We start from the raw sequence: 12804 nt of genomic DNA, 5'->3' as shown, positions 1-12804 counted from the left end.
AGGAAACAAACTTGCAAACAGTGTTAGTTTTCAATGACATTGGGGAAGGGCTCTCTGAGGGGTCACATTTGAGGGGGACCTGGTGGAGCCAGACAGTTATGCAAAAGTCCAGATGGTGATTGGGGGCAGCTGTGGGATCAGCCACGTGTGGGTCCTGTGAATGCATTTTTGAGGAATAGAAAGAAGTCCAGGGTGTTGGTTCAGCAAGTGACGGGGAGAGTGATAGATGAGACTGTGGAGGCCACAGGGGCAGATTGTGTAGGACTTTGTAGGCTATGGAAGAGTTTGCTCTCAGTGCATTGGGGAAGTACTGCAGGTTTTAGAGCATGAAGGTGATCTGCCCTGATTTGTTACCTAAAAGGATCACTCTAGTTACCATGTGTAGAACGGATTGTTGAAAGGTGAAGAGTAGAAGTGAGGAGTCCAGTGAGAAGGATGTTGCAGTTGCCCACTGGAGAGGTACTGAGGGCTGGTTCCAGATGATAGTGGCGGTCAGTGGCTCTCAAGTTTTCATCTATGGGCTCAGATGAATAACAAATGTCTTACGCCCAGAAGGACTCTATAATTCTGTCATCAATTGCTTGCCCTAGTACCACTGTAACTATTTTCCAGAACTAACAAGGGTGAGTAGGGAGTTGTCCCTTGGTATCCATGGGGGAATGGTTCCAGGATCCCTTTCAGATGTCAAATCTGAGGATGCTCAAATTTCTTACATAAAATGGTGTAGCTATTTGCATATAAGCTGCCCGCATCCTCCTGTATACTATAAATCATCTCTAGATTACTTATAATACTTAATACAATGTTAAGTACAAAATAGTTGTTACACTATGTTGTTTTTCTATTTGTGTCATTTTTATTGATGTCTTGTTATTTTTAATTAATTAATTTTCAAATATTTTTGGTCAGAGGTTCGTTGAATCTGTGGATATGGGACTCTTGGATACAGAAGGCTGACTATAAATAACTTTTTCCATTAAGCAATCTGTATGCTTGATTTATCTTTTAGCATCATCGTTGTTGTTTTCACCAACAAAGTCATTGAACAATAAATGGTTTGTGTTATCTTTGGGGATATCCAATAACAGAGATAGAAAGATGTACAAGTAGATAGTCCTCTAGGCATGCAGGTGAGTTTGCAGTCTAGCTTTAACTGATAACAGATATCTAGGTCTTGGGAAACATTCCTGTAAGTTTGAGTTGCATTTTCAAATGCATGAAAAGCCATGATTTGTTTAAGAAAAGCTAAATAGTTCACTCTGCCCAGAACATAGTTTAGGTGCCACAGTAGTGATTTGGCGGTGGTGATGAAGGTGGAATATCTGGAGTAGAAAGTAGAAAGGCTTTGATAGGTAGAATTTGGCAGCAGTAAAGAGCTAATCAAGTCTTCAGTAAAGAGAGTGACATGTTCAAATGCATGCTTTAGAAGGATCATCCTGGCTGTGGGGAGGAGAATGGATTAGAGAGGGTGAGGCTGGAGGTGGGGAGCATGAATAGGAATAATCCCAGGGAATTATGTGATGAATGTTTAGATGGTGGAGATGGCAGGGCCTGGTTGGGTGTAGAGGGAGCAGGAATGAGGCAGAGACCGGTTGGGAGAATTCCAAGGTTTCTGGCTTGAGTGACTAGAGAGATGGCAATGATATAGCAATAGATTGTTATAGCTACTGAAGTACCTTGTTTCTATGTTTTATAAAATAAAAAGGAAGATACTGTCAATTGCAAAAATTATTGGAGTTCTCCCCCTCACCTCCTATATCTTCGCCCCTCTGAAATATATCTCTGCAGCTCCTGCCATCAAAAGTTGGAGTCTGTTTCCCCACGCCTTGAATCTGGGCTGGCTCTATGATCCACTTTGGACAACAGAATTTGGTGGAAGTGATGCTATGCCAATGCTGAGGTGAGGCCTCAAGAGGCCTTGTGGGCTGTGACTCTTTTGGAACGCTGCCTAGCTGTCACGTGAACAAGGCTACTGCATGATGAGAGACCATATGGAGCCAAAACATGCCTTTCCAGCTGAGGCCCTCCTAGTCCAGCCAGCCCTAGATGCACAAGCTGGTGACCAAAGATACATGAGTGAGTCCAGATGAGAAGTCCCTCGTTGAGCCCAGCCCAATTGCTGATCCACTGACTTGTGAGGTACATAAATGACTGTTGTTTTAAGCCATTATGCTTTTGGGTGCCCTGTTAGCAAAAGTGAAGTGATGCCGGTATTTATGAAATAGATGTAAAGCTTTACTGAACTCTCCAGTGTGAATGGAGGACTAAATTAGAATAAGAAAGCCTCTTGCTTAACCCTCTCATAAAATTCTCAGGATATTTTGTTTAGTGAATCAGTCAGTGTGCATTTTTCCAGAAAATGCATTATACCCCTTTGACGACCTTAGTTCTTATCCCTGTCATGATGGGGTTTTGCTAGCTTTGGGTGACATAGGGTGATCCACACTCCTGGTTTGTCTGGAACTCTCCTGAAAGTCCCACATCCTGGGAAACTCTTCAGTCCCAGGTGAGCCTGGACAGTTGATTACTCTACATCTGCACTTCACTTTGTTGTTTGCAAGTCAGATGTGCCCACATTCACCTATGGGCTTCTGATGACAAGGCAGGCTTTAATCTGGCCTGTTTTACAGATGGTAAACCTGAGATCCAGCAGGTTCAAGGTGCCCACCCAGGATCACTGAGCTAGACGGCAGAGAAGAGAGGAGTTGAACCCAGGTCAGCCTAATGCTGTTCCTCCCCACCTGCTGCTTCCAGGGTGGTTACACCAACTCTTTATTACTGGGCTGTGAAGTGAGGGGCTGCATCTCAGGTCCATTCCCCAGCAGCACAAATGCTTTTCCATTTTGATGATTTACAAACACCAGTGAGGTCTGACACCAAGAGAGAAGAGACTCTGGCTTATTCTGTAGCTCACACTTTGTAGAGATGACTTGGGCCACTGGCAGTCTTGACCTAACCCTCTGAGGCCAGAAGAGCTGCCACCCCAGATCTGCAAATGGCAATATAAGTGAGACTCAGCTCCAGAGAAAGACCTTGGAGAATCCAGAAAAAGACGAGACGTGGGAGGGGAAAGGGATGGGAATAGAGAACTGGTTTCATCTCTTTTAGGAACCTTGTTGATGCTTTATCGTGAACTCTTTGTTTAAAAAAAATCATTTTTCATACATTCAGAATTCCAAGCTGCTGAAAATTTCCTCCTGTGATGAGACGCATTCAGAACAAAACGTGCAGCCTGATTTGTCTTTCCCCAAAATCAAAGGCAGTATTCTAAAGAGACTGCATTTGCCACACAAAGGTGGCAGATGTTTGCTGAGATTATAGCTGCACAAGCGTTCCGCACGTTCAATCTTGGGAGCATTTCAGTTTTTGAAAAGAGAAACAGTTTTGTGTCATTCCTGGATGCCCAGGAAGCTTCTGGTACCTACAGTGTGGAGCTCTGGTGGGGTGTGGACAAAGGCGGGTTTGCTCACCTGGCTTTCCATGATCTGGATGTCTTGCAGAGCAGTTGCTGAGTAAGACTGGGCTGAAGCACAGTGTGGTAGGAAGTCAGCTCATCAAGTATTCCTTAGCACCTATGTGTACCCCCATAATGGTGTTAGGTCCTCCAGGCAGGGATGTGTGCCCTTCAAGGTGCTGCAATTCTTATTCTTGCCCTCATGGCCTTTGTAGTCTGAAGGCTTTCTAGGCCCACAAACTTAGAAAGTTGATTTTAAAGTTGAGCTAGTTTTTAACTTTCCAAACATATTTACTCTCATTCATTCCCCTCTCTTGATTTCCTATGCTGGAGATCTGACAGTTTCCCAGATTTCTCTTTCCCCCATCCCTGGAATATAATCAGTCACAGAATCTTAAATCTTCTATCCCCCAAAATGGAACTCAAAACCCACCCTCTTTTTCCATCTGCAATGCAGATAGAATCCCTTCTCCTCACCCCCATCCACTGGAAACACCCTTGTCACACCTCCCATACTGTCCCACAAGTACCCAGGGAGCTACTGGAAGTTAGAATCAGCTTTGCTTTCTTAGTAAGCTAGCACAGGGTCAGCATGTATTTGGCATTCACTGACTTTTTTGAATGAACAAATGAATGAATGAATGAATGAATAGGTAATGATGTAAATGATGGGCTATTCCTCAGCCGTGTCCCTTTAGATTTCTCTGTCTGTTGGTCTCTGTTGGTGCATATCTCTCGCCCTCTCTTTTTTAAATTAATTTATTTTTTAACATGGCCAACCCCTATTTATCCTTCAAGACCCAGTGCCCATGTTAACTCCTCCAGGAAGCCTTCTCTGAGACAGTCTGCCTGTGTGGCTGATTCACTTTTTCTTTTCTTTTTCTTTCTTTCTTTTTTTTTTTTTTTTTGAGACTGAGTCTTGCTCTGTTGCCCCGGCTGGAGTGCAATGGTGCAATCTCAGCTCACTGCAACCTCCACGTCCTGGGTTCAAGTGATTCTTCTGCCTCAGCCTCCCAAGTAGCTGGGACTGAGGCACGCACCACCATGCCTGGGCTAATTTTTGTATTTTTAGTAGGGCTGGGGTTTCACCATATTGGCCAGGCTGGTCTCGAACTCCTGACCTCGCAATCTGCCTGCGTTGGCCTCCCAAAGTGCTGGGATTACAGGCTGATTCACTTTTTCTTCTGTGCTTCCACAGAGCTTGTGCTTGTGCACATAAGAATCAATATTTCAATGTCTATATGTATGTTTTTTCTTGTTTGTCTCTTCCAGGGATAGCAAGTAGATTTAATTTCACACTTTTGTTTTGCCTATTGTTGCTGCTTGAAACAGTGTTGAGCTGGAGACTGAGGGTAGCTTTTCATCATTATATTGTCTGATTTCTGTCTATCAGAGGGAGTGGGCTTATTTCCTCAGCAGCAGTAACTATGAAGAACATGATGTTAGTAAGAAATCTGTGTGTGTGGATCAGCCTGCCAGCTGCTGTGGCTTCTGAAACTTTAAGCATGGTTGGTTCAGAGGGGCTAAAGCCTATTGATCTCAAAGCTTGGATGGAGAAGGGGCTTGAAGCTGTCCTTCAGCCTCGATTCTGTTCCCTGTGCTAGATGACTGATAGAAGAGGAAGTTCTCTGCATTCGCAGCCTCCTGTATGGCAAACAGATGCGAGGCATGAAACGTTGTGCTCTGATGGTTAAGGTCATGCATGGACTTTGGGTTGGACTGAGTTGAAATTCCCACATCACCACTTACTTACTAGCTGTATGATTTGGGGCATGTTACTCAGCCTCTTAAAACTCCTGTTTCCTTAATTAGGAAAAGAGATTTGTATAAAAGTCAGCCTTTATAGAATCTCTATTATATGCCAGGTGCAGTGTTTTATTTTTATTTTAAAAATTATTTTTAAAGACAAGATCTCGTTCTGCTGCCCAGGCTGAAGTGCTGTGGTGCGATTGTCACTCACTACAGCCTCAAACTCCTGGCCTCAAGCAATCCTCTGACCTCAGCCTCCCAAAGCTCTGGGATTACAGGCATGAACCATCATGACCTACCTTATTGTTATTTTTGATTGTGGTTAAAAAACCTATAACATAAAATTTACCATCTTAACCAGTTTTAAGTGTATATTTCAGTATTTTTAAACACATTTACATTGTTGTGTAATGGACCTCCAGAACTTTTTTATTTTACTAAACTGAAACTCTATACACATTGAGAAACTCTCCATTTTCCCCTTCCCTCAGCCCCTGGCAACCACCATTCTAATTTTTGTCTCCATGAATTTGACTACTTTAGATACCTCATATAAATAGAATCATATAGTAGTTGTTTTATTATGACTGGCTTATTTCATTTAGCATAATGTCTCAAGGTTCATCCATAGGGTAGCATGTGTCAGGATTTCCTTTTTTAAGGATGAACAGTATTTCATTGTATGTGTATCCATTCTTCTGTTGTTGGACATTTGGGTTGCTTATGCTTCTTGGCTATTGGGAATAATGCTGCTTTGAGCTCTTGCTTTCAATTGTTTGGGATATATACCCAGAAGTAGGATTGCTGGATTATATGATAATTTTAATTTTATTTTTTTTTAGGAATCATCATACTGTTTTCCATAGCAGTTATACTATTTTGTATTCCCACCAATAGTGCACAAGTGTTCTAATATCTCCACATCCTTACCAACATTCATTAATTTCTGCTTTTTTAAAAAAAAGTTTAGCCATCTTAGTGGGTGTAAGGTGATATCTCATTGCAATTTTTATTTGCATTTCCCTAATAATTAGTGATGTTGAGCATCTTTTTATATGCTTTTTCTTTGGAGAAACGTTAAATTAAATTTTTTGCCCATTTTAAATCAGGTTTCTTGTTTTGCTTTGTTTTTTGTTGAGTTGTAGGAGTTCTGTATATATTCTGGATATAAACCCCATAACAGATATATGATTTGCAAGTATTTCCTCCCATTCTGTGGGTTGCCTTTTCACTCTGTCGATTGTGTCTTTTGATGCACAAAAGTTTTGAAATTTGATATAGTCCCATTCATTTATTTTTGCTTTTGTTGCCTGTGCTTTTGGTGTCATATCCTGGGAATCCTTGCCAATCCCAATGTCATGAACTTTTCTCCCTGTTTTCATCTACGAGTTTTAGAGTTTAGAGTTTCAAACATATTGAGTTTCAGTTGTATCTTGGGAATCCTTGCCAAACTCAATGTCATGAAGCTTTTCTCCCTGTTTTCTTCTGAGAGTTTTAGAGTTTCAGAGCCTATGTTTAGGTCTTTATTTTGAGTTAATTTTTATATATGGTATAAGGTAACGGTACAACTTCATTCTTTTGCATTTGAATATCCAGATTCCCCAGCACCATTTACTGAAGAGATTGCTCTTTCCTCACTGAATGCTCTTGGCACGCTTGTTGAAGATCACTTGACCCACATGAGAGGATTTATTTCTGGCTCTTTATTTTATTCCATTTGTCTATGTGTCTTGTCTTTATGTCAGTACAACACTGTTTTGATTACTGTAGCTTTGTAATATGTTTTGAAATCAGACCTCCAACTTTGTTTTTCTGTTATAAGGTTGTTTTGACTGTTCAGGGTCCCTTGAGATTCCCTATGAATTTTAAGATGAGTTTTTTCATTTCTGCCAAAAAAATGCCATTAGGATTTTGATAGCGATTTCATTGAATCTGTAGATTGCTTTGAGTAGTATTGACATTTGGACAATATTAAGTCTTCTAATCCATGAGCAAGAGATGTCTATCCATTTATTTGCATCTTCTTTAATTTCTTTCAGCAATGTTTTGGGGTTTTCAGTATACAAATCTTTTGCTTCTTTGGTTAAGTTTATTCCTAAGTATTTTATCCATTTTGTTTTTTTGAGACACAGTCTTGCTCTGTTGCCCAGGCTGGAGTACAATGGCATGATCTCAGCTCACTGCAACCTCTGCCTCCTGGGTTCAAGTGATTCTGGTGTCTACCAAGTAGCTGGGACTAACAGGTGTACACCACCATGCCCAGCTAATTTTTGTATTTTTAGTGGAGACAGGGTTTTGCCATGTTGGCCAGGCTGATCTTGAACTGCTGACCTCAAGTGATCCTCCCGCCTTGGCCTCCCAAAGTGCTGGGACTACAGGTGTGAGCCACTGCACTTGATCCATTTTATCCTTTTTGATATCATTGTAAATATAAATGGAATTGTTTTCTTAATTTCTTTTTGGATATTTCATCATTAGTGTATAGTAATGCAACTGATTTTTGTGTGTTGATTTTGTATACTGCACCTTTGGGGAATTTGTTTATTATGGGGGAATTTGTTTATTATTATTAAACATTTGTTTAAATGTTTTACTTGTGTAACCTCATTTAGTCTTTAGGGCCGCCCAATGAGGTAGGTATCATTACTACCCTCATCATACAGATTAGAACACTGAGGCTCAGAGTGCTTGGGTAACATGCCCCAGGTGACCTGGTTGGAAAGGCTCCTACCAGACCTTTCCTGGATGGAAACTCAGACATCCATTACTTTTAGTCATGATACTTATTAATCACTTTTTGATAAGGAGTTTTTAAGATTTACATGAGTTAATCTATAAAAGTGCCTCACATAAGACTCTGAATGCTTAATAAGTGATAGTTTTTTTTAATACTTAAATAAAACTTCATTGAGCATGCAAAATGAAAAGATTCACAACATTCCAAGTAAAAATAAATTCAAAGGAATTCTCACCTGAAACATTCTGGCAAAAATATTTCAATTATGAAGATAATTTATTTTTATATTAGAAGCATCAAGGAAGAAAAAATGCTCCTTAAAAAGAATATAAAAAATTGGCTATCTACAGACTTTTCTTTTGTTCTTCTAGATGGAGAAGCCGCTACGAGGTTTTGAAGGGAGAAATTTGGAACCTAAAAATTTTGAAGACTTCATAGTAAAAGCAATGAAGTACAAGCAATAGATAGACACTCTTAGAGATCTAGAGACTTGAAATAGAGATGTAAGACAAATCAATGCTAAGAATATGAGAATGGGGGACTTCTGGTATGAAAGGGCATGTAGTTCTTCTTTTACAAAACTTAGACCCCAAGATTCAGCAATTCAGCTGGATGCTATGTTATCAGGTAATAATAATTCTGCACCCTTGAGCTTAGTCCTCACAACTTCCCTCAGCTGCTCTTCTGCAACTTCACTGAGACCAAGAATTAGATTTCCCTATTTGTATGTTTCTTAATACAAGTTACATCACTTAATTCAGAAAAATAAGGATCAGGAGAACCAAAGTCATTTGTGGACTTGCATGGGTCTCACAATAATTGAGTAGCATTGTGGAATTCCTACTGAGTTTGTCGAAATGCAGCCTTGGCCTGACACCAGAGTCCACTACACCAGAGCACAGCTGGGACTGACAGAGGCTTCTGGACCTGTGCTGCCATTTCCCCTGGCGCTTGGATTTTCTGTGTCTTGAGGGCAATGGGCTGTACCAGGAGGCATCCACAGATGCCTGCCTTTCTCTAATAATTTCTTCTGGGCAATACCAGAGTAAGGCCGAAGAGTCCTGACTTGATAGTCCCTGTGAGGTTGCAGTGCAGAGTAGGGGCCCAGCCTTCCCAGGCATGCCCAGCCCCAGAACCTTCCTGCCTGGCGCTTTTCTTTAGGGAAGTCTCTCAGATCCTTGGTTAGAAAACCAAGAGTGAGCACATCTTCCTCTTTCAAGATAGCTCTTTCCATTGGTGAAAAGGCCAAGACAAAAGGAAACGCTGAGGTAGAAAGGGCCCTGACATTTCACACTCATGTTTCTGGCCCTGCTTTTTTTAGAAAAGTAACTCTTTCCCATGGTTAGGGGAGAAGTCAGACCTTCCTGTTCCTCTTGAGCAGGGCATGAAGCAATTTTCAGCCCTGATGTTGACACCAGGTCATACCCCCACACCTTCTCCCTGGGCCAGGCTCTTTGGACTTCTGAGCTCTGGCCTTTCCAATAGGAAAGTGACCAACTGGCCACAGAAACAAGATCTGCATAGCTTTTGCAGAGGAAAAGAAGTAGCAGGGAATAGAAGCAAGGACTCAGACCCTTGGGCTGCCCAGCTTCGCTTCTCTCCCAGCTCGGCTTCTCTCCCAGCTCCATTGCTTATTATCTGGGAGGAATCAGACAAGTTACTTAACCTTTCTTAGTCTTGGTCTTCCCACTAGAAAAGTATGGAGATAGTGCTATATGCACAAGGGGATTGTTTATAGGAATAAATGAGAAGATCTACACAGAGAGTTTAGTGTAGGGCTTGGAACATAGTAAATATTCCACAGACATTAATTACTCTCAAGATTATTGAAGGTTGTATCTAAATCCTTAGTTTGAGCAGCCATTTGAATACACAGTGTACAGGAGGCAGGATTGTGCACCTAGAGAGGGAGGACTCTGGATTCAACGAGATCTGGGTTCAAATCCCCACTCCAATAATTACCAGTAAGCAGAATGAACATGGAAAAGTTAATTCTCTTCTTTGAGCTTGATTTCTCACCTTGTGCTTTCCTTGCATGGTTCTTGTTGAGGGCTGGTGGTGGGGAGATTATGTGAAATCATGTATGCCAGACACACAGTGGATGTGCAATAATGGTTCCCATTATTACTAAGGAATCAAGTCAAATCCATTCAAAGGATGGCCTGAACCTTTATGGGTCTGATCACCATTAAACATGTGAAGGCGGGTTAGTCCGCTGGCATTTTGTGTGTGGAGTGAATCAAAAGAAAAATTAAGGTCAAAATGGCTTTCTTCATTTGATCATTCACTTTTTCATACCCCCAGTGCCTGGCACGGTGTCTGGCTTATTTTAGGTCATCAATACATATTTGCTAATTTAAATAAAGCTTTATTAATGCCAACATATTTTGTATGGGCAGGGCTGGCTCCATGGGCAGCCATGTTGGCATGGCTATGCTTGGGAGGGCCCCATGACATCTTCAAAGTCTTAATAATTTTTAAATAAGGGCCCTTCATTTTTATTTTGCACTGGGCCCCACAAATTATGCAATAAGTCTTGTGTACAGGCAAATAAAATGCAATGTAAAAAGGCTGATATTTTCCTTCTAAAAATTCTCCATTGGCTCCTCATTGCACCTAGAAGAAATCCAAGCTCCTTATATGGCTTACCAGTCCTTATATGACTTACATGGTCTCTGTAGTCACACACACCTTGATTCCTAAACTCCAGCCACCCAGGCCTGCTCATTTAACAGTCTGAGCTCTCTACCTGCTCCCCATTTGGGTCTCAGCTCCTAAATCACTTCCATAGCAAGATCCCTCCCTGACCATCCTCCTAGCCACTCTGTCTTTTTAAAAAATTTATTTTATAATTTCAACTTTTATTTTAGATTTGGGGGTATATGTGCAAGTTTGTTACATGGGTATGTTGCGTGATGCTGAGGTTTGAGGTATGGATCTCACCACTCAGGTAGTGAGCATAGTACCCAATAGGTAGTTTTTCAACCCCCAGGCCCCATTTCCCTTCCGCTTCTAGTAGTCTTCAGTGTTGAGTGTTCCCATCTTTATGTCCATGTGTACTCAATGTTTAGCACCCATTTATAAGTGAGAACATGCAGTATTTGGTTTTCTGTTTCTGCATTAATTTGCTTAGGATTATGGCCTCCAGCTGCATCCCTGTTGCTGCTGCAAAGGACATGATTTCATTATTTTTTATGGCTGTGTAGTATTCTTTTTTTTTTTTTTTTTTTTTTGAGATGGAGTCTCACTCTGTCATCCCAGGCTGGAGTGCAGTGGCGCGATCTTGGTTCACTGCAAGCTCTGCCTCCCGGGTTCACACCATTCTCCTGCCTCAGCCTCCTGAGTAGCTGGGACTACAGGCGCCCACCACCACGTCCTGCTAATTTTTTGTATTTTTAGTAGAGATGGGGTTTCACTGTGTTAGCCGGGATGGTCTCGATCTCTTGACCTCGTGATCCGCCCGTCTTGGCCTCCCAAAGTACTGAGATTACAGGCAAGAGCCACTGCACCCGGCCACGACTGTGTAGTATTCTATGGCATATACATACCACATTTTCTTTATGTAATCTGCTTGTGGTGGGCCCCTAGGCTGATTCCATGCCTTTGCTATTGTGAATAGCCCAATCCATTTTCTTAGCCTGCTTTACACTCTTCGTAGCTTCTGATGCTTTCTGAAAGGAGTTAGAGTTTACTTTTATGTTGACTTGTTTATTTTCTGTTTCCCCCACTGTACTAAACTTGATGGAGCAGCCATCTTCCTGTCTCATTCCCTCCCTTGTTCCCAAAGCATTGCCCAGCCCTCAGCACACAGTGGGTGCTCTGAATACTTATGGACTGAAGAATGAATGAACTTGGCAGTTCTGGGATTTTAATCTTAAAATGCCGATCCTTCAGGACTTTCTCCAATGGGAAAGTGAGACCAGAATTGGCACCATATACCCTAGTTGGGGATGAGTGACCATTTGTCTCCATAGCCTCCCAGTTGAGCAAGATGTCCACCATTTCCATGTTCTCCTGGTAACACAAGCTGTGAAGGGCTGGAAGTTGGGGCTTGGCTCCTAAGCCCAGTCTCCCGGGTCAGGTCCCTGCAGTAGGATCCAGTCTGCAGATGGAGATGTAGAAAGGTCTGGATAGCTGGTGTGAACCAAGAGGCAGGAAACAGGAGATTGATAGCAATGAAAACATTGGATGAGAAGTCACTTAACCCAATGCCCCATTTTACGGAAAAGAATATTGAGATTAAACGAGAGGAAGAAACTTATTTTGTAATAATAATAATAACAGCAAAAATCCAACCCAACTCAAACCAATCCAAATAAAATCAATGAAACAAATGAAAAGAAAAAAAAACAATGAGAGGCAGTATAGTGTAGCATTAAGACCTCAATACAAGCATGATATTAAATGAGTTAATACTCCTAAGGGGCTTAAGGCACAAAGTTCCTGGCACAACAAGTTTGCTATATAAGTATTCACAAATTAAAGGCTAAATCTATTGTGCTCTTTTGCTGTTCCAGGAAATTTGCAAGCCTCTTACTTACACAATTTCATTTGATTCTTCCAGTCACCTGTTGAGGTAGGTGCTATGATGATTTGTCCCCATTTTACAGATGATGAAATGAAGGCCCAGGTAGCAAAGCTGGGATGTGGCCCCAGTCTGGCTGACTCTAGGGCTGGGTTCTTGGCCACTACCCTGGATTGCAGTCAAGGGTACAGCTGGCCTGGTACCTCTGTGCTCTTTCCCAGTGCCAGGCCTGAGACTGGCCTGAGTGGGAAATACTGCTGATTCACATGTGCTCTGCTGGGAAGCTGCCTTACTCATTGGCTCGTTCATGCTGCAAGCATTCCCTGCATCTGCCTTGCT

At 41.8% G+C, this 12804-nt stretch overlaps 1 long non-coding RNA gene across 2 annotated transcripts in view; it reads left to right on the top strand.

Moving 5' to 3' along the window:
• The window catches only part of LOC102724968 (uncharacterized), a 75521-nt gene extending 62957 nt beyond the window's left edge, over positions 1 to 12564 (top strand). Inside the window, exons 7-8 of one of the 2 annotated variants that reach the window (XR_001754596.2) lie at positions 1789 to 2139; positions 8312 to 12564. This is a non-coding gene — a long non-coding RNA (uncharacterized LOC102724968). Of the gene's footprint in view, positions 1 to 1788; positions 4341 to 8311 lie in introns of those variants that run through there. The other variant, XR_001754597.1, reaches the window with a different exon arrangement.
• Positions 12565 to 12804: the final 240 nt, after the last annotated feature.

The sequence above is a fragment of the Homo sapiens genome, chromosome 20 (genome assembly GCF_000001405.40).
Source record: "Homo sapiens chromosome 20, GRCh38.p14 Primary Assembly".
Taxonomy (NCBI): domain Eukaryota; kingdom Metazoa; phylum Chordata; class Mammalia; order Primates; family Hominidae; genus Homo; species Homo sapiens.
Note: the sequence above shows the minus strand (reverse complement) of the source record. Positions and strands in the feature narration are given on the sequence as shown.